Raw genomic sequence first — 23,706 nt, 5'->3', positions numbered from 1 at the left:
TTTCATTTAAATGACTTTGAATATTTTTAACCAAGATATTTTGTTCTAACCAAATTTATTGCTGTTGGCAAATTTTAAGTGGAGATTATATAACTTATGTGGAGAAGTGGAGATTACATAACTCATGTGGAGACTATCTTGAACAATAAAAGAGCCAATTTTTCTTCCAAATGAAATAACAGAAAATGTGTATGCATCCAACAGATATTTTGTTTTTTAGATTTTGTTCTTCATAGGTGCCAAAACATGCTGTTTCATGTTTTGTATCTCTGTAATAACCAGCAGATACATGTTCATAGAGAAGGCCATTTCTCTCAAAATAAGAAGTATAAAGATCCCTAAAGAAACATTTCATGAGGATAGTAAAACTGCCAAAGGAAACCAAAATTATTTTGTTACTATATGAATTTTAAAATGCAATAGAAAGATCAAGCATTTGAATATTCAAAGTGAATCATTACCATATGTCTAGGCAGTACATTTGGCAAATGCTGAAAAATTGAACACTGAGGATTTGTGATAAACCACTGTTACAACAAAGCTGTTGGAATTAATGTTTTAATTCGTGCTAGGGAGTATAAAGTCATTGCTTATCTTGCTGGCCAGGCAGACTTGTTGAGTGTTTCTGTTTCTGAACTCTTTCCTTGGTATTTTGAAAGCTATTCCAACATGACAACATAGAGTTTCTCCTTCTACTATTGATTACATGTGTAAGCAGTGAGAAGAACTTCTAGGGTGGATGATTAATACTCACCAATTCACATCATCAAACAATTTGAGCAGGAAGAAACCAAAGAAGAATAGTTTAGGCAATGAAATAGAAGAAACTTTCAAAAATAAATAGAAACAAGTTTTTAGAATGCTTATATTGTTAATGAAAACCACATTAAAATCCTGAAAGGGAAGACATAGCCACCTGTATTTTGTGAATGCTTTGATTTCTCCTCCCTGTGAATGATAACACCTGCAGAAAGAATCATGTCTTATTCCACAAAAGACATTTGTTCAACTCATGTGTATTCATACTTACTATATGACAGGCCCTCTGCTAGGCACTCAGATTAAAAGGTGAGTAAACACAATTCCCAAGGATCTTACACTTTAACTCAATTGACATATGATGAAGCTGAACTCGTTGGGAAATAGTGCAATCCACACATCAATAAAACTACCAATCAATGGTCTTGCCTGATGAGTAAAATATAAGGAGCTACCAACATGGATAGTGTTAAAACTAAATAAGCTCTTGGAAGTCATTGGTCTGGCCTCTTTTGTCTTTGAATACTGCCTGCCTAGCAGAAGTACTAGAGGATATTTGTTGAATTGCAGTAAACTGAAACCACACTGGTGAAAAATAAGTGCCGTTTTTTTCCATAATAAATATGAAACTTTTAAAGAAAATATGTGTACATATTTCACTAGTCAGCCTTCACAGGATATCCTAGAACCCAATTTTTTTTATAAAGTCAAAGTCAGAGGTAAGAATATTGAACCAGATTTAAGTGCAGTTGGAGGGGCACCTGAAACAAGTTCAGAGAGAATCACAGCTCAATCTAAGGTCGTTAAAAAAAATGGATGTCTTTAGCACTGTTGGTCTCATTCATTCCATAAATCAAGGAAAACTAGTTTTCATGTTATTTCATTGCTCAGGTCCCTGACATGGTGGCAGATCTTGTTTTTCAGAACCAGCAGCAATGTAAAAAAGGATTTCAAATAGATTGTAAATGTTGCTAGAATATACTATCCTTGAATAAACTCTGGATACATTTAATTAATACTTGTTAATTAAATCATGGAAGAGTACTGTATGGAGACACAGATTCTCAATAGGAGAAACAATGGAAATCAATTTACATGAGAATTAAGCCCTCTGGGCTCCAAAATCAAAACACCTTTGTTCATTTTGCTGTTAGTCTAGGAAAACAATACTTGAAGATGTATGTTTAGTTGAGATTACTGGAAAGAAAGAACCTTTTGTCATTTACTCTCACTTTTTCATTTTTAGAGGAACAGAAAAGTCAGTCAATAATTATAATTACAATTCTCTTTTTATCAACTGCTCAAATGCCTTCTTATATGTCATAATTACCTCAAAAGATAACAACCTTTGCAAATCCATGGGGCATTTTCCCTTATCTGACAAAATATTTATCATTGGTTCTGATACTCAAATGCTACACAAATTAGTATAACGGTGACAGTAGTTATAAATAAGGTTTTAATAGTCATTAAAAAACATTTATGCCAGGCAAGGATACCTTTCTAAATGCAGTAATTAAAAGTGAAAAAATTAGAAATGAAAATAAAATTTTCTCTGTTGTTGCTTTATGAAAAATGAGATATTGAATTTTGATTGCTAACAATTAATTAAGCAATTCATTTTATTCTTCCCCAACTCTCTTGAATAGTTTTTGAGAACAGGTAAGATGGACAACATAAAACATAACACCTGACATCACATAAGTGGGCACTAAACAATTACTCATTTCTGTTTATTTCTCTTCAATTTCTTCTACCTAATGAGAACGCTTATTTATTCATCCATTTAGTTAATACTTATTGACATCACTTATGTATCAAGTACTCTGCTAGACACTTGGAATTCAACAGTGAAGAAAGGGGAATTTTTCCTAGTATTTTCTGGACAAATTGATATCCACACTGTGAAAAAAGGAACACAGGACATTGAAACTTAACAGACTCTGATACATTTTGTATTTGTAATATTTATCAACACTGACACAAAATACCAAAACTATTGTTGGAGTGTGTATTAATAGAAGCCATTTGTTTCACATTTTTTAAAGAAAATGTTTAATTACTTGTTTCAGCTTTTTACTTCATTCTTGACCATTTGGGAAGTGTGATCATTTGGAAACAATAAATTGCAAAGTATATTGTTGATACTGAATAGCTCTGTGGATTAATTATTTCAGGTACAGATATCTTTATGAGAAAAAAAAAAGACTTAGTAAAAGTAGAATGTTATAAAAGGGAGGAACCCAAGATAATAGTTGTCAAGATGTAGATAGAGGCTTCAAACATTTGAAGTGAGAATCCCTTGTGATCAAGCCAGTTGCTATCACGGACAAACAAAACAACCGGCTGCACTGCTTATTCTTTTTTATTTTAATTAGGTATTAGTTCTAAAAAAGTTTATTGTTGTTTGTAATTGACTCCATCTTAATAGGTTTTCCATAGATAAATTCATTTTGCACTCTTGTCAAATTAAATGTGTACCAAAATATCTATATGAATATGACACACGTCAATTAGAATTTTGTAGCCTTCTGAATGAGAGCTGTTTTCTTTTTTAAAAAATGATGAAAAATATGTCTTTAAAGCACAGCTTTTAGATGACTTTTTAAATGTTTTGCTTCTGAAAATGTCAGATTTTAAGCCAACATGTTCTCAGGGATGAAGTGCTAGGAATCCCTGTTAAAGTGTAATATTTTTACTGGGCTCTTCACAAATCTGCCACTGTTCCCATAGTAACTCATTCTTCAATGAGCAACGAGGCAGGAAGACTGGCTAGTGTATTGATGAATTTCACTTAATGGTATTTGTTAACTATTCACTTATATCTAGGAGGACATAGGTGGAGAGTAGGCTTTTATCGGGGACTATAAATATATTAATCAGTCTTCCAGAACAGGGAAAATAAATGATTGAGTGAAGCATGCTTTTGCCCTGTATCTGAATTTCCACTATATTATTTTTCTGTTGTCAGAAAAAGTTTTAGTTTTGATATAAACAAGGGAAAAAATTTATAGAGTATCTGTTGCAGAAATCTTCAGGATGTTGGTAAATCCTAGGTAAACTTCAATGTACAGGTACAATGTCACAAGTACTGATCTTAGGCCTGAAATTATAGTTAATGATTTTATAGCTCTATATCAACATCTGACTATTTTAATAAGACGAATCCTCAGAAGAGTACATCTGTTAAATAGTCAGATACTCATTAATTTGTTACTAAACCAGACGAGTAATTGTCATCCATAGTTTAAAAAGTTGTGTAACAAAAAATAAATGATTAAAATAAAATCTGTCACTTCTGAAATTTGCCTTGCAGACACTTTAAAGATACTTTGATTTCTGTAAATGTCTAGAGGTCCTTGCATTCATCTCCTGTGATTTTGTTGTTGTTGTTATTCATAGCACAACTTTGTATCATTCTATATAAAGATAGAGAGATACACTACATCAGTAAGTTCAAGTCTTTGGATTTCATGAAGTAAATTATAAATTAATCTAGAGAACTGGATGCTGTCATAAAGCTGTTGTGTAGGGGGATTATTTATTTATATATGTTTATATTTGCACACTACTTAATTTTGACACAATGAAGAACTCGCCACATTTTATATTTTTGGAGATTGATGAAAATTTTACAAAGAAATGCAATGTGAGCACCACACCTTCTGGCTTTCTATTAAGAAAAGTATATTTCTAAATGTTTTATAAAGTGGAGTCTAAATAATTTTATATCATGCATGATAGTCTTGGAAAAAGTTAATAGTCATATTTTAGGATAAATTTTATACTTTTTAAGATAGAAATCAGTTAACTACACATGAATCGTCCCTTTACTTACCTATTGTTATTTTTACACCACTATAAAAGTTGGTAATATGTAAAGATAATAATTTAGCTACAATGTTTTGCTTCCATTATTCTTCACTATATGACAACCTCTGTAGTTGTCACTGCCATGGGAGGAGTCTTAAATTCATGATCTGGTTAATGGGCACACAAAGGTCTGAGGATGTCTTCTTCAGTCAGGCTCACGGGCAAAAAATATGAGCAGCCTATTTCAAAAGTTAAACATACAGACTCTAGGGTGTGCTAATTGGATTTTTAAACTCACCTATTTTGTATTATGATCTTTTAAATGGGAGCAATATTACTCAAAGGTAGCATCTAATAAGAATTAAATGACCTAAAGTATGAGAAATTCTTACAATAGTTATTGTCATATCATAAATCTTTAATAACTGTTTGATAATTGGGCAAAGTGCTTTTACTTCTTCATACTTTATTTCCACAAAATAAAGATACTATTATAATTTATATACAAGTTTGTTATGCTCATGAAGTGAAACAATGCATATATAGCATGTTTAGCACATTGCTTGGCATATATTATTTAAGAAATATTAGCTTTATTATTATTACAATCAATCCATACATTCTCCACCACTCTGACACATTTTCTGAAATTATGAGCTGCTTTTTTGAGGCTCTTGCTTTTCTGTTTTTCTTTTAAAGAAAAAGTTATGTAATTCAATCCAAGTTCAACTGTATAAAAATGATAGGGGAGGGATTGTGTGTGTGATAGATTTGCCCTGATATCCAGATCCCTCTGGAGAGGGCCCTGTACATGGGCAATAGCATTTTCTCACAACAAACATATGTCCCTGATTCCCCAGCCTCCTTTTTCATGCACAATCTTCTGCCAATTGTTGCTACTATTTGGCTCATGTTCAAGATAAACAAACATTCTTATCGACTCAGAAGCCTCTTTCTGATATTTGCAAAGACAGTGAGAAGTGTCTGGATCTCGATGTGTCAGTTTATTACTTCTAAAACAAAATTGCTTTGTGCCATGCACCTCCTTCTCTATTTACTTTTGAATTTTCAACTTCTTACTTTCTAAGTCATTAATTACTTGCCTCCCATATATGTAGTCACTGACTGATCAGGATACTGATTTATTCCCCATAATACTTAGAGTTCTGCTGCTCTATTTTTCATTCTTTATGTTATCTTCCAGAGAATGTCAATTATTTCACTTTTTAAAAAAACTTTATTTATTTATTTACTTATTTTTGAGATGGAGTTTCACTCTTGTTGCCCAGGCTGGAGTGCAATGGCAAGATCTTGGCTCACTGCAACCTCCACCTCCTGGGTTCAAGCAATTCTCCTGCTTCAGCCTCACAAGTAGCTGGGATTACAGGCGCCTGCCACCATGCCCAACTAATTTTTTATGTTTTTAGTAGAGACGGGGTTCCATCATGTTGGCCAGACTGGTCTCGAACTCCTGACCTCAGGCGATCCACCCACCTTGGCCTCCCAAAATGCTGGGATTACAGGCAAGAGCCACCACACCCAGCCATTTTACTTTTTTTGAACTAACGATGTTCTACATATAGTTCCCCCTATGGCAAGAAATTTTGTTCTCTATGTCCTTTTACTCTCAAGCGTTTTTCTACTCTAAGGGCTATTTTAACCTTTTAGCAATTTAGATAATCTTGCTTTGATCCCTTGATTTTGCAACCTAGGCAAATTTCATGTCCAACATATACTCTCGATGAATTATTTAACTTAATTTCTTATTAGTCTCTTTGTTTTTGTTCCTAAACCCAAGAGGAATGTTTTAGTTCATCTCAGACCCACCTTCACACCTTCATGCCAATCTGAAAAAGAACCTAGCTTATTTTTGGCTTCCAGAAGTGTTGCAGGAAGTCAGGGACCCCAAACAGAGGGACCGGCTGAAGCCATGGCAGAAGAACGTGGATTGTGAAGATTTCATGGACATGTATTAGTTCCCCAAATTAATACTTTTATAATTTCTTATGCCTGTCTTTACTGCAATCTGTAAACATAAATTGTAAAGATTTCATGGACACTTATCACTTCCCCAATCAATACCCTTGTGATTTCCTATGCCTGTCTTTACTTTAATCTCTTAATCCTGTCAGCTGATGAGGATGTATGTCACCTCAGGACCATGTGATAATTGCATTAACTGCACAAATTATAGAGCATGTGTGTTTAAACAATATGAAATCTGGGCACCTTGAAAAAAGAACAGGATAAGAGCAATTGTTCAGGGAATAAGAGAGATAACCTTAAACTCTGACCACCAGTGAGCCAGGTGGAACAGAGCCGTATTTCTCTTCTTTCAAAAGCAAATGGGAGAAATATCACTGAATTCTTTTTCTCAGCAAGGAACATCCCTGGGAAAGAGAATACACGTCTGGAGGTATAGTCCTATAAACGGCTCCCCCCCCAAGGTGTGCCTGTCTCTTATGGTCAAGACTGCAGGGGTGAAATAGACCCCAGTCTCCCATAGCGCTCCCAGGCTTATTAGGAAGTCGAAATTCCCACCTAATAATTTTGGTCAGACTGGTTGCTCTCAAAACCCTGTCTCCTGATAAGATGTTATCAATGACAATGGTGGCCGAAACTTCATTAGCAATTTTAATTTCACCCCGGTCCTGTGGTCCTGTGATCTTGCCCTGCCTCCATTTGCCTTGTGATATTCTATTACTTTGTAAAGTACTTGATGTCTGTGACCCACACCTATTCACACACTCACTCCCCTTTTGAAAATCCCTAACAAAAATTGCTGGTTTTTGCAGCTTGTCGGGCATCACAGAACCTACCGACATGTGATTTCTCCCCTGGACACCCAGCTTTAAAATTTCTCTCTTTTGTACTCTGTCCCTTTATTTCTCAAGCTGGCCGATGCTTAGGGAAAATAGAAAAGAACCTACGTGAATATCGGGGCAGGTTCCCCGATACAGAAGAAGCCCAATGAAGCTTTAATATGGTTTACTAAAGGTAAGGCATACGTTGAGCAAAAGCATCCTGTTGCAATGAAAATGCCCGGTCAGTAATCCCACACACTCACACTACATGTTATAGTCCTGAGCTACTACTCTCTGCCACTTGTCAAAAGCTCCACTCACCAAATGAATCTCATCAACTGTATACAGTCTCTTTGAAAATTTAATCTATTCTATTCCTTCCCTCATCAGACTCTAATCTAGGAAAGTCAAATAATCTTCTATCTAGACAAAGGGAAAACTGTACCTCTTCCCAGTTAAAGCTATTGTTAACAAGCAAGCAAGCTAACCAACAAACTGTAAATTGCATATGTATTCAAATAATTATGGGTTCTTTGCCATTCAAATATAAGCATAGAGCCCATGTCTCTCTATAGTTACACATTCACAGAAGCACAAACAACAAATGAAACTTATTAATCATAATTCATATATTTGCAGGCCTTTCTTTAAAAATGTCAGAGAGAGCCAATATAAACCAGCCAGTATTTCTTAAATCCTGTTTACCATCTGTTTCTTACCAGCTTTCACTCCTCACAGTTCTTACTAGAAGCCTATCCTTCCTTGCCTCACCCTACCTGCTCACAAAATACTTTATCCAAATACCCAGCTGGCCGTTCTTTGATCTCTAAAATTTTTCTAATAACAGAAGCAATTTAAAAAGATTTCTTTTCTGATTTGGTGAACATATATTTATCATCACAATCTGTCTCAATGTGGCTGGGCCAGCTTACTCCAAGCACTATGAACTTCCCAAACCCCCATTCCTAAGAATGAGGGTAAACTTTCCCTAGACTCCTGTATGGAAGAAAATATTTTTGTATCCCAATCTTAATCATGCCTACTTTCCTGCCCAAGAATGACAAAAAGAGCCCTCACTCAAATAAAATAATCTTATTTTCAACAAAAGAGTATGGCATTGGTCCAGGATGGGGAAGAACAGTGCATTTTTGAAGTCTGGGTTATTCACTTTTAAATGGCAGTAGGGCAGAGACACCTGTACTACAGCCCAGACAGCAACACAACCAGGCTAATTTAGATACTTTTCACATCATTTTTTCAGCACAAAATAGAAAGACCAGGTCTGCATCTCTCTAGAACCATGATTTCAGATACTGAATGCCTTGCAACAAATGTTTAAATAAGAAAATAAAGATAAGTATCTGGTGAAAAAAATGTTCTGGCAGAAACAAGAATAAATTTAGCTTTAGAAAAAATTTAATTCACATGCACATGATTCAACTAAAATTAATCCACCTTACATTACTTTATAGAACACCGTATCTTAATCAAAGCACTTTTTTTAGATTTTTTAAAATTGCCCTTAGGCCTCAGCCAAGTAAACAGTCTCTACTTATCTTTATCTTCACTTCTAATGGTCTCATTAAAGTGATACACCAAAAACAACAACCAAAAAAGTCAAGACTTGTCACAGCAATTGGTCAGGATCACCTGTGCCTGGGATGTCCAGACGACTCAGTGAATTTTGTCACACATCGGTGCCTTACTGACTCCTCTTCCAAAACAATCCCATAACAGGAAAGTTGTAATTTCCTTCCATTCTGTAGATTTTAGAGTTATATTTATTAACAATATTTATCTACATATTTACCTATATAGTTCTGTTACATATACATTTCAACAGTTGTATTTACGTGGTTATTATGTATGTGTGTATATATGTAAAGAAATAGAGACATGTTTATGTCTATATGTGTTCATGTACATACCCATTTATGTATTTATTACTACATAGTTATACTAAATTGTCATCTTTTTTAGGATAGATTATAAAGCCCTTGAGATGTCATTCAAATCTTATTGGGCTGAATTCCTTTCTCCTCTATTAAGATTTCCACAGAGAAAAATTAGATCTATTTCGTCTCCACTATTAATAGTTTTCATTTCAATGGTCACTCCCTGATGCTATCCCAAATTCTGTGGCTGTACCCTAGAATTCTTTATTATCTGCATTGATGCCATTAAAAGATGGCATTTCTGCCTCCTATTCTCTTCACCCAGTAATCAGCCAGAAAGCCAAATATCTTCCCCACCCCCTTAACCTCAGATCCCTGGTGAAGGCACACATCCAAACCACCTGCTTCTTTAACTAGAATTCTGGGTGTCAGTCCAGAGCTTTCTTTGGCCTACAGCTGTCTTTTGTTTTTGTCCTCCTGCAGGATTCTTGGCTTATGACTAGACAGCCACCTACAGTGACACCACAGATCCAGGCTGAGCTCTAGTAATTTTCAAGTGCTGCAATAGAACACTCAGCGTGTGTCCCCCTTAAAGGGAGTCTTTAAAGAAATATCCACAGGCTCAGAACATAAGAGGGAGGCATGCCACCAGATTCTGATATCTCTCAAACCTCCACTTTCCCTTAACTTTCTCTTTTTCTTGAGCAAGAATTCAATTTGTGCAGTCATATAAAACGAAATAAAGAGAGAATGTGATTGCCAAGAGGTTATCTTAATTGAGCCAGATATACTGCAGATACTCCTCATATTATGATGATGTTACAGGCCCAATAAACCCATCCTATGGTGAAAATATTTTAAGTTGAAAATGTGTTTAATACACATAGCCTGCCACATATCATAGCTTACTCCAACTTACCTTTAACATGCTCAGAATACATACATTAGTCTACTGTTGAGAAAAATCATCCAACACAAACATATTGTATAATAAAGTGTTGAATATCTTATTTAAACTATTGAATACTATACTGAGAATATGAGTGTTCATCATTCATGTACACAGCCAAAAGCACACTAGGCCTGGAGAGTGTTTGAAGAATTGAACTAAAATTAATAGCTGGATGATGGGGATGCTATAGCAACAGGGTCATCAATTTCTCTCTCTTTTGATGAGGCTTAAGAGTAGTAGGCACAGTGTTCTTCAGGAAGATATTAAGTTTTGACTGTACAGTTTTTCCTTTTCATAATTATCTATAAAGTGCTGGCCACACCATACACTGCAGAATATTGGTTGTTTAACCATCATCATCACGTGGCAGACTGGGAGCTGTCACTCATTGTTGCTGCCCAGCATCACCCCGACCAGAGAGTATTGTGCTGCATATTGCTAGCCCAGAAAAAAAGATCAAAATTCAAAGTACAGTTGTTACAGAATACATATCATGTTTGCACCATTGTAAAGCTGGAAAATTATAAGCTGAACCATTGTAAGTTGGGGACCCTCTGTACTTAGATATAACTTTTGCTTAACATGATATTGATTGTTTGCATTTACTGGTGTTTTCAAAGCCTCAGGTTACTTTTGCAAATAAGCCTGTAGCTTAGTTGTTCATCCACTGACATTTGGTGTACTTTAGGAGTTATTGTTGGAAAATAAAAATTTATGGGTAGATGGAGGAAAAGATGGTTGATAGGAGATAGGACTAATGTGCAGCTCCTGCTTGCATGGACAGAACAGCGTCTGGAGACACACATTGAGAACTTTTGCTCCAAGAACCACTGCAGGAACACAACAGGAAGACTGTAAGAATTTGTGGACCCTTTAAAAGCAGTGGCTTGCTGCTGCAAATACTGCAAGACAGTTGAAAAACTCCACTGCAGCAAGCCCCGCCCAAGGAGATTCTGAACTCAGACCCATCAACCCTACTCCCACCTGATGGTTTTTCTCTACCCACCTTGGTAGCCAAAGACAAAAGACATAAACTCTTGGGAGCTCTATGCCTCACCCATCACCTGAGAAAACTGAACACTTGTCCTAGACAATGTAGGGCAAGCCTATATCATCCTTCTACTACTGCAGCTGGTGCTCTCTTGAAATCAACACCTCCTGACTGGAGGCCAAGCAACTCAAGCCACTAAGCAACTCATAACAGAGCAACCTTGCTCCAAAGAAGGTAACAACAGCTAATTTCACCACCTGCAACACCTTGGCTAAACAGAGGTCCTGAGTCTATCCATGTGACAACTTCACTGCTAGCATAACCCACATTTGAGAAAACCATTTCACTAAACAAAACTATAACCAAGGACTCTAACAGAGTCCACTTCACTCTCCTGCCACTTAACGACAAGAGCAGTACTGGTATCCACAACTGGGAGATCTCAGGATGGATCATATCACAGGATTCTTTTTAAACATTCCTCAGCACCAGCCTGGAGTCCGGTAGCCCCACTGGGTGGCTAGACTCAGAAGGGCAATAGCAATCACTGCAGTCTGGCTCTGAGGAAGCCACTTCCCTAGAGGAAAGGGGAGAGCACCACATCAAGGGATAACCCCATGGGACAAAAGAATCTGAACAGCAGATCTTGACTTCTATGTCTTTCCAGTGAAACAGTCTACAAAATAAGAAGGAATCAGAAAAACAACTCTGGTAATATGACAAAACAAGTTTCTATAACACCTTCAATGCACCTTATTAGCTCTCCAGCATTGGATCCAAATCAAGAAGAAATCTATGAATTGCCAGATCAAGAATTCAGAAGGTTGACTGTTAAGCTACTCAAAAAGGCATAAAAGCAGGGTGAAAAACAACTTAAAGAAATTAAAAAAAAAATACGGGATATTGAAAGATAATTCTCCAGAGAAACAGATATTGTAAAGAAAAGACAATCGTAACTTCTGGAAATGAAAGACTCACATAGAGAAATGTAAAATACACTGGAAAGTTTCAACAATAGAATCAAACAAGTAGAAGAAAGAACTTCAGAGTTTGAAGAAAAGGCTTTTGAACTGACCCAATCTAACAAAGACAAATAATTTTTAAAAATGAAGAAAGCCTCCAAGAAGCTTGGGATTATGGTAAAGGACCAAACATAAGAATAGTTGGTGTTCCTGAGGAAAAAGAGAAATCCAAAGGTCTGGAAAATTTATTTGAGGGAACAATTGAGAAAAATTTCCCTAGTCTTGCTAGAGATGTAGACTTCCAAGTACAAGAAGCACAGAGAACACCCAGGAAATTCATCACAAAAAGATCAACACCTAGGCACATAGTCATCAGGTTATCTAAAGTCAAGACAAATGAAATCTGAAGAGCTGTAAGAGAGAAGCATCAGGTAAACCATCAAGGAAATCCTATCAGATTAACGGCAGTTTTCTTAGTGGAAACCTTGCAAACCAGAAGGGATTGGGATCTTCAGCCTCCTTAACCAAAACAATTTTCAGCCAAGAATTTTGTATCCAGTGAAACTAAGCTTTATAAATGAAGAAGAGATAATTTAAGCTTTATAAAGGAAGAAGAGGTAAAAAAAAGATTTGTTTGTCTATTTCAGACAAACAAATGCTGACAGAATTCACCACTACCAAGCCAGCACTACAAGAAATGACAAAAGGAATTCTAAATCTTGGAAAAACAACCTTGAAATACACCACAATAGAACCTTCTTAAAGTGTATATCTCAAAGGGTCTATAAAACCATAACACAATGAAAAAAAATCCCAGTGTATTCAGGCAACAACTAGCATAATGAGTAGAACAGTACTTCATATCTCAATACTAGCATTGAATGTAAATGGCCTAAATGCTCCACTTAAAAGATATGGAATTGCAGAATGGATAAAAACCCACCAATCAAGTACCTGCTGTCTTCAAGAGACTCACCTAAAATATAAGGACTCACATAAACATCAGGTAAAGGGGTGGAAAAAGATATTCCATGCAAATGAAAACCAAAAGTGAGCAGGAGTAACTATTCTTATCTCAGACAAAAGAGACTTTAAGCAACAACAGTTAAAAAAGACAAAGAGAGACATTATATAATGGTAAAAGGAAAGTCCAACAGGAAAATATTGCCATCCTAAATAGATATGTACCTAATACTGGAGTTTCCAAATCTATACAACAATTACTACTACACCTAAGAAATAACATAGATGGCAGCACATTAATAGTGGGGGATTTCAATACTCCACTGACAGCACTAGACAGGTCATCAAGATAGAAAGTCAAAAAAGAAACAATGGACTTAAACAATACCCTAGAACAAATGGACTTAAAGGATATTGACAGAACATTCTACCCAATGACTGCAGAATATAAATTCTTTTCATCAGCACATGGAGCATTCTCCAAGATAGACCATATGACAGGCCACAGAACAAGTCTCAATAAATGTTAAAAAATTGAAATTATGTCAGACCACAGTGGAATAAAATTGGAAATCAACTCCAGAAGAAACCCTCAAAACAATGCAAACACATGGAAATTAAATAACCTGCTCCTGAATGATCTTTGGGCAAACAATGACGTTAAGATGGAAATTTAAGATTTATTTGAACTGAACAATAATAGTTACATGACCTATAAAGAACTCTGGGATATAGCAAAAGCAGTGCTAAGAGGAAAGTTCATAGCATTAAACAGCTACATCAAAAAGTCTGAAAACCTAACCTCACACCTCAAGGAACTAGAGAAACAAGAACAAACCAAACCCACGCTGTTCTTATGATAGTGAATGAATTCTCAGGACATATAATTGTTTTAAAGTGTTTGACAGTTCTACCCTCTCTCTCTCTCTTCTGCCTCCATGTAAGACATGCCTTGCTTTTCCTTCACCTTCTGACATAATTCTAAGTTTTCTGAGGTCTTCCCAGCCATACAGAACTGTGAGATAATTAAACTTCCCTTTTATAAATCACCCAATCTCAAGTAGTTCTTTATAGAAGTGCAAAAATGGACTAATACAAAAGATTAGTACCGAGATAATTGGGGCATTGCTATAAGATACCTGAAAATGTAGAAACAGCTTTGGAACCAAGCAATGGGCAGAGGTTGGAACAGTTTGGAAGGCTCAGAAGAGGACGGGAATATGCAGGAAAGTTTGAAATTTTCCAGAGACTTGTCGAATGGTTTTGACGAAAATGCTGATGGTGATATGGACAGTGAAATCCAGGCTGAGGTGGTCTCAGATGAAAATAAGGATCTTATTGGGAACTGGAGCAAAGGTCACACTTACTATGCTTTAGTAAAGAGACTGGAAGCATTTTGCCCCTGCTCTAGAGACCTGTAGATCTTTGAACTTGAGAGAGATAATTTAGGGTATCTGGTGGAAGAAGTTTCTAAACAGTAAAGCATTCAAGAGGTGACCTTGCACTTTCTGAAAGTGTACAGTCATATGCATTCAAAAAGACATGATCTAAAATTGAAACTTATGTTTAAAAGAGAAGCAAAACATAAAAGTTTGGAAAATTTGCAGCTTGACCATGTGGTAAAAGGAAAACCCCATCTTCTAGGGAGAAATGCAAGCTGGTTACAGAAATTTGCATAAGTAATGAGGAACCAAATGCTAATAGCCAAGACAATGGGGAAAATGTCTCCAGAGCATTTCAGAGATGTTCATGGCAGCTCCTCCCATCACAGGATGGAGGCCTAGGGGAAAAAAAATGTAGTTTTTTTTTTTTATTTTTATAAATTACCCAGTCTTATGTAGTTTTTTATAGCAGTATGCTAACGGACTAAAACAACATTGGCTTTGGCAAGGAGTTCATGACCAAGAACCCAAAGGCAAATACAAAAGATACAAAGATAAATAAATGGGACTTAAACTAAAAAGCTTCTGTACAGCAAAAGAAATACTCAGCAGAGTAAACAGACAACCCACATAATAGGAGAAGATGTTCACATACTGTGCATCCCACAGAAGACTAATATCCAGAATCTACAAGGAATTCAAAGAATAAGCAAAAAAAATAATAATAATTCCATCGAAAAGTAGGCTAAGGACATGAATAGACGTTATCAAAGAATATATACAAATGACTAATAGGTATTTTACAAAATGCTCAACATCGCTAATGATCAGGGAAATGCAAATCAAAACCACAATGCAATACCATCTTTCTCTTGCAAGAATGGCCATAATCAACAAATCAAAAAATAATAAATGTTTATGTGGATGCGGTGAACAAGGAACACTTCTACACTGCTGATAGAGATGTAAACTAGTATAGGCACTATGGAAAACAGTATGGAGATTCCTTAAATAATTTAAAGTAGGAATTACTATTTTATCCAACAATCCCAGTACTGGGTATCTACCCAAAGGAAAAGAAGTCATTATACAAAAAAGACATTTGTACGTAGTAGCACAATTTGCAATTGCAAAAATATGGAATCAGCCTAAATGCTCATCAACCAATGAGTGGATGAAGAAAATGTGGCATATATATATATATATATATGTGTGTGTGTGTGTGTGTGTGTGTGTGTGTGTGTGTGTGTGTGTGTATATATATATACGTATATATGTGTGTGTGTGTGTGTGTGTGTATATATATATATGTATACATATATACACCATGGAATACTACTCAGCCATAAAAAGGAATGAAATAGTGGTATTTTCAGCAAACTGGATGGAATTGGAGACCATTATTCTAAGTGAAGTCACTCAGGAATGAAAAAACAAACATTTTATGTTATCAATTATAAGTGGGAGCTAAGCTATGCGGCAGCAAAGGTGTAAGAATGATATAATAGATTCTGGGGACTTGGGTGAAAGGGTGGGAGTGGTGTGAGGGATAAAACACTGATAGCCAGATGTGGTAGTTCATGCCTATAATCCCAGCACTTTGGAAGGCTGAGGTGGGAGGATAGCTTGAGCCCTGGATCTCGAGGCTGCAGTGATCCATGATTGTGCCACTGAACTCCAGCTTGGGTGACAGAGTGAAACCCTGTGTCTAAAAAAATTTAAAAATAAAAATAAATAAAACAAAGAGTTCTGACAGTACCAGATACTAGATGGATCTCCACCAATATGTGATGGTCCTTGGCCCAGCTCCTAGTCTCCCTCAGCTTACTTTCCCTTGTTAATGTCTTAGAAAAATTGCCCTAAACCTTGTCTACATATTAAAATAAAATATGATTTTGTGTGTGTGTGTGTGTGTGTGTGTGTGTGTGTGTGTGTGTGTGAATGCCCAGGTCTCTGAGAGATTCTGATTTTACTAATCTAAGGTGACTTCCAGGCACTACTTTTTTAAGTGTTTTCTAGGTAAGACTGGCTTAGACTTATCTGACACTGAGAAGCATTTGTTTCCAGAGATCCTAAACCTGTGAGTCATGCCCTTAACCACCAGCCCCATATGTGCAGCTGCAAAGAAATTTGCTTTCATCCCTCTCAGAATTCTAATATGGCTTGCTAATTTACCAACACAATATTCCAACACAGTGTCTTTCCAGTGTTCCAGAGGAGAAATGTTACAGCTGTCAGCAGCTTGACAGACTGTTGAAAACATGTAAAATCAACTATGCAAATTGGGAGTTACAAAATGCTATGGGGACTTTTCCTCTGACAGTGTAGAAATTACAAACATTTTATCAGGGCTGAAAATTCAAATAAAGAAATACTCTATATCCTAAGTAAATGGTGTAGCAATCTATAACATCTCATTCAAGAAATGTTTCTCTCCCCTAACAATTTACTCATGCTTTGCTCCTGTATCCTCCCACACCTCTCCCACTCATCTTCCCATTTCAAAAAGGAAACCTAATAAAAATCAGATGGGAGATTCGACTCTACTCTGCAAAGAAAGAGCCACTGCTTCTAAAGCTGTTTTTTCGTTTTTTTGTTTTATCATTTCTTTCTTCCCATTTCTTCTCTTTCTTTTCTTTCTGGATCTCTTTACCTTTCTCCTGCCATGTATTGCAAATTCTGTTCACCTCTTGGGCATGCTCTTGACAAGTATGGTGATGAAGAATGACTGAGTAAAGTATCTCTTCTGTGTCTGATATTATCTTAGACTAGGGTCTGGGGCTATCAAGCCTACCATTTCTCATATACCTATACAAAGGAAATTAATAAGATTAAATATAATGTAAAGAACTTAGGTAAGCCACTTCTAATTTATTCAGAGATTCATGGAAGATGTGTATATGTATGTAATTAATCATAATCATTTTGTTATTTTCAGAAAGATTATTTTTTGAATTCATATTCTTTGTGTTAAACATATATTATGTGCCCTTGATCAGTCTATTCAAATTTATTTAAGAAGCTTTTGTTCAAAGGGCATTTCAAAATCACCTGGAAAAAATTTGCTTCTAGAAGTCATTTAAGGGGATATATCTAATAGTTTCTAATATTGAAACTGTCAATAACAAATAGTGATAATAAAAATGCATCAGTAAAGACAATGACCTTAAGGCACCTGTCTCCCCTCCCTGCAACTGATTTATAACCACTGGCTTCACTAATGGCATAAAATCACACATAAGTAGTGCAGAATTCTGGACATATAATCAATAAAGTTTATCAATCATATTTGTTCATTGATTTATTCATAACATATGCCACTTTTATTACAATAATTTATACTTTCAAATAAGCTTTGAAAATAATTTCACAACTTACTATTTTTTTTTTCTTTCACCATAACTCTAACGTTAGGAATAGGCAACAGCATTAAAATAACTTAATGTGCTAAAAAGTAGCTAAGTTCCAGTATCTACGAAAGTGTTATTTATTTTATCTTGTGCTAAAAAACAAGAACTATACTAGTTAGATATTTTTTCTTGGAACTCAGAACTCAGGTCAATGGAGGTTGAATTATCACAAGCAACAAAGAAGAATTTTCAGAGGATAGGTTTTGAAGTCTGAAAGACATGGATTCAAAATACAACCTCACATTTTTTCATATATTTTGTAGCTTATGTTGACTAATTTAATTTATTTCTCTGAAAAATACAGTGAAGTTCCATCTTGGGGAGTTTTAGAAATTTATGAAAAAGCAAATTACTTTCCATTTATTGCTTTGGGTATACAGGAGGCCATCAAAAGCCTGGCAGTTATTATTCTCCTGATTTCCACATGGTGCACGCCTGGGTTTGATAATAGTCAAGTAAGTGAGCTTCCTTTTTATATATTATTCACATTGTTTGCCAACAAAAGCAGAAGGACTAACAGTCTGTCACAATGTGCATTTCTATACCTCTCTCTCTCGAGAATAGAAAGTATGTGTGTGTGCACATGTGTGTCTATGTACGTAAGAAAACAAAAATGTCAGAAGGGAAAATGAGCATTTAACCAAGAAAAAAGTGACACAAATTACCATTCTCAGAAATGAAAATGGAGCCATCACTACTGATCCTGTGGGCAAAAGGAAAATAAATTAATATTATGAAAGACTCTAGGCCCACAAATCTGACAACTTAGATGAAATGCACCAATTTCATGAAGAACACAATCTATCAAAACTCACATGAGAAGAAATAGATAATCCAAATAGGACTATATCTATTAGAGTAACTGAATAGACAATAGTCCTCCAAAACAGAAACACCAGGTCCAGATGGGTTCACTATGAATTCTACAAAGCATTTAAGTAAAATAGTATATTAACTCTCCACAACCTCTTGTAAAAATATAGACAGAAGGAACACTTTCTAATTCATTCTATAAGGCCAGCGCTGCCTTAATAACAAACGAAAATAAAGACATACCGTAAAGGTCAATATCTCTCATAAATGTGAATGCACTAATTGAGACAGGAGAGTTTCCTGACCCCTTTGTGGGACTTGTGACAGGAGTATGGTTTGTTTGCCCAGCTGGCTGCCCTGAGCTCAAATCCCTTATGTGAGGGGCAGCACACAGACAGGCAGGTGCAGGAGTTGGGATGAGTGCTTTTGGGCTGTGGCCCACTGTAACACACCCTAGGGGTGTGTTACAATTAATGCTCTTTTAGCAGTTGCTGTCCACAGATGGCTAAGTGTTAAACCAGCTCAGTGGAGAGTCAGGGTAACAGCCTTTTACATCCTGCCCTCTTTGTACTTGGGCCTTCACTGGTGTCCAGGAATAATTGGATCATGCAGACTTGAAGAATGGTGAATGCAGGGATTTTATTAATTGATAGAGGTGGCTTTCAGTGGGATGGATGGGGTGCTGGAAAGGGGATGGAGTGGGAAGATGATGTTTCCCTGGAGTTGGGCCATCCAGTGGCTGATCTCTCTGATGTCCCAAGACAAACTCCTCTCAACTTTCAGATGCTCCTTCTCTTCTCTCCTTCTCTGTTGTACTGTTCTGCTCCTCTGCCACTCTGCCACTCTTCTGCTTTTGGGGTTTTTATGGGTACAGGATGAAGGAATGGTGGGTCAGAGTGGTCTTGGACAAGGCAACATTTGGGCAAAAAAACAGGAATGTCTGTTCCCATTTAGGGCCATGGGTTTCTAGGCTTGAGGGTGGGGCTTTTGCTGGGGAACCACCCTCTTCTACCCAGTATTTCCCTGCTTCCTGTTCATATTATAATCCTCAACAAAATACTAGAATATTGAATCCAAATCAAATAATATATGAAAATAATTTTATACCATAATTTAATGGGATTTACTTCTGGTATAAAATATTGGTTCAATGTGTAAAAATCAATTAATGTTAAGCTATCATATCAACAAGTTAAAAAAGATAATTATACAATCACATCATTAGATGTAAAAAAATCACAAAATTCATCATCAATTTATAGTAAAAACTCTCATTATACTAGGCATAGAGGGGAATGTCTTCAATTTGATAAAGGACACATACCAAAAAAATACAGCTAGTGTCATCCTTAGGGATGAGAAACTAGTTTTTTTCTATATTCTCACCACTCCTGTTTAACATCATACTGGAAATTGTAGCTAATGCAATGAGCTAACTAAATGAAGAAAAAATATATACAGATTTTGAAGAAAGAAATAAAACTGTCTTTGTTCATAAATGGCAAGTTCGTAGAAAATCTGAGAGAACTGACATACCAAAAAACTCTTGGAACTGGCAAGCAATTACAAAAAGGTTGCATGATACCAGGTCAATATACAAAATTCTATTTATTTTCTATATACCAGTAATAGATGAAATCTGAAGTTACAACCAAATTTTTATTTACATTAGCATCCTCAACAAAATGAAAAACTTTGATATAAACTAACAAATTTGTACAAGATCTATATGAGGAAAATTATAAGATGCTGAGGAAAGCTATAAAAGAAAATCTAAATAAATGGAGACATATTCTGTGTTCATAGAAGGAAGACTCAATTTTGTCTCTGTTCTTCTAAACTTGATTTGTATATGCATGCAATATCACTCAAAATTCCAAGTTATTGTACAGATACTGAAAAACTGATTCTGAAACTCATGCAAAAAAGCAAAACACCAGAAGAGCCAAAACGACATTGAAGAAAAAAGTCAGAGTACTAACACTATAGGTCTTTGACATTTACTAAAAAACTACAGTAATTAAGATGATAGTCTGGCACTGGCAAAAACAAAAAAAGACAAATAATGAAACAAAATAGAGAATCCAGAAATGAACCCATACAAATAGAGTAGATTGATCTTTGTCAAAAAAGTTAAGGCAATTCGATGGCAAAAATATGGTCATTTCAACAAATAGTGCTGCAACACCTGGATATTTATGTGCAACAAAAATGAATCTAGTAACAGACCTTACATTCTTCAATAAAATTTAACTCAGATCATAAACCTAAATGTAAAATAAAAATCTTTAAAATTTTATACAATAACATAGAAGAAAATCTATGTAGCTTTGAGTTTGGTGAGATATATATATATATACACACACACACACACACACACACACACATAATCAAAATAGCTAAAATTCAAAATACTGATGAAATCAAATTTGAGCAATGATGGAGAGGAACAAGAACTCTCATTCATTGATTTAGGGAATAAAAACTGGAATAGCTACTTTGTGTGGCTGTTTCAGAGTTTCTTATAACACTATACATAAGCTTACCACATCATTCAGCAATTGTACTGCTAAATATTTACAAAAATTTATTGAAATCATTTGTCTACACAAAACCCTGCATATGAATGTCTTAGGAGCTTTGTTTATAGTTGCCAAAAACTGGAAGCAACCAAAATGTTCTTCAAAAGGTGAATTAATAAACAAATTGTGATATAACCATAGAATGGAATACTATTCAGTGATAAAAGAAAATGAATGATTTAGCCACAAAAGACATGAAGAAAACTTAAATGCATATTCCTTAGTGAAAGAAGCTTTTGAAAATGCAACACACTATGTGATTTCAACTATCTAACATACTGGAAAAGGCAAAACTATAGAGACTAAAAAGATCAGTGGAAAAGATATTAGAATAGAAGGCCCCACTGTCTCTGCAACAAGAACACCAATTTAACAACTATCTTCACATACACAAAAAGGACTTTCGTAGGAACCAATAATGAAGTGAGCACTCACAATATCCGGTTTTAACTTGTTATATCCCTGAAAGAGGCACTGAGGAGGTGACAAAAAAATCTCTTGAATGGTTGACACCACCCCTCTCCCCTCCCCCAGCAGCAGCAGCAGTGTGGTGCTGAGAGAGTTTCTGTACACTGTTGGAAGGAGAGCACAGTAATTGTGAGGCATTGAACTCAGAGTTGCCGGGTTATAGCAGAAAGAAAGGCTGGACCAAACTCAGCTGACACCCATCCATGGAGGGAGCATTTAAACCAGCCCTAGTCAGAGGGGAATTGCCAATCCCAGCAGTCATAATTTGAGTTCCCACAAGTCTTGCCACCATGGACTGAAGTTCTCTACGACTCTAAATAAACTGAAAAGGCAGTCTAGGCCATAAGGACTGCAACTCCTAGGAGAGTCCTAGTGCTGAACTGGGCCCCAAGACACTGGACTAGAGGGCAGATGACTTACTGAGACATCAGCTGGGGTGGGTAAGGAAGTGCTAGAATCACCCCTACCCAAAACCCAGATTGCACAGCTCGTGGATCCAAAAGAGACTCCTTTTTTTTCTGCTTGAGAGTGGAGAGAGAGAAAGGGGGGAGGTATTTGTCTTGCATCATTGATACTAACTCAGACAAAGCAGGATAGGGCAGGGGTCAGAGTCATGAGGCCCTCTTTCTAGGCCCTAGCTACCAGATATTTTTGGACTCTGGGCCAGAAGGGACATTTCTAGACACATTCGGGTCAGAAGGAAAACTACTACCTTGAAGGGAAGCACCCAGTCCTGGCAGCAGCATTCATCACTTGCTAACTGAAGAGCACTTGGGCCCTTAATAACCAGCAGCAATACCCAGGTACTACATTGAGGGCCTTGGGTGACACATTGAGACTTGCTGGCTTCAGGTGAGACTCAGCACATTATCAGCTTTGGTGGCTTTGGGGAGAGAACCCTCTGCTTGAGAAAGTGAATGGAAAAGTAAAGGGAACTTTGTCTTGCATCTTAGGTACCAGCTCAGCCACAGGCAGGTAGAGCACCAAGTGTACTACTGGGGTCCCCAGTCCCAGGAATTGACTCTTGGATGGCATTTGTGGAGCTTCCCTAGGCCAAAGGGAGCCCACGTTCCCTGAAGGGTGAGTCCCAGGTCAGGCAGCATTCACAAAGCTGATGGTAGTGTCTTTGGGTCTTAGAACATTGGTGGTAGTCTGGAAGTACTCCTCGTGGAACCATGGTGGCAGTGGCCTTGGGTGAGTCTCCTCTGCCTTTGGAAAGGGAGGGGAAGAGTGGGAAGTATTGTGTCTTGGGATTTTAGTGCCAGCTTAGCCGCAGTAAATAGAACACCAGGTAGACTTCTAAGATTTTTGACTCTAGTACCTGGGTCCCAGACAACACCATTACACTTGCCTAGAGCATGGGGGTACTTGCCACCCTGAAGGGAAGGACACAAGCCTGGCTGGCTTCTCCGCTGTCTGACTGCAGAGCACCACAGGCCTTGAGCGAACACAGGCAATAGCCAGGGAGTGGTTATAGCAGGCCTTGGGTGAGATCTAGTGCTGTACTGGCTTCAGGTTTGACTCAGCACATTCATAGTGGTGGTCACCACAGGGGTGCTCATGTCACTAAACTCCCAGCTTCAGGTGGCTCAGAACAGAGAAAGAGAGAGACCGTTTTTGAGAAAGTGAGGGAAAAGAACCAGAGTCTCTGTCTGGTAATCCAGAGAATTCTGAATCTTGTCAAAGACCATCAAGGTGGTACCTCTGTAAGTCTTCAAAAACCACAGCAGTACTGGGCTTGGGATGCCTGCTAAAGCAGATACAGCATAGATCACAACACCCAAATCCTTTCAAATATCGGGAAAGTCTTTTCAAGGAGGACAGGTACAAACAAGCCCAGACTTAGAAGACTTCAATAAGCACTTAACTCTTCAACACCCAGACATCTAAGAACATCTACAAGTATCAAGGC

Source organism: Homo sapiens, chromosome 2 (genome assembly GCF_000001405.40).
Source record: "Homo sapiens chromosome 2, GRCh38.p14 Primary Assembly".
Classification (NCBI taxonomy): Eukaryota; Metazoa; Chordata; class Mammalia; order Primates; family Hominidae; genus Homo; species Homo sapiens.
Note: the sequence above shows the minus strand (reverse complement) of the source record.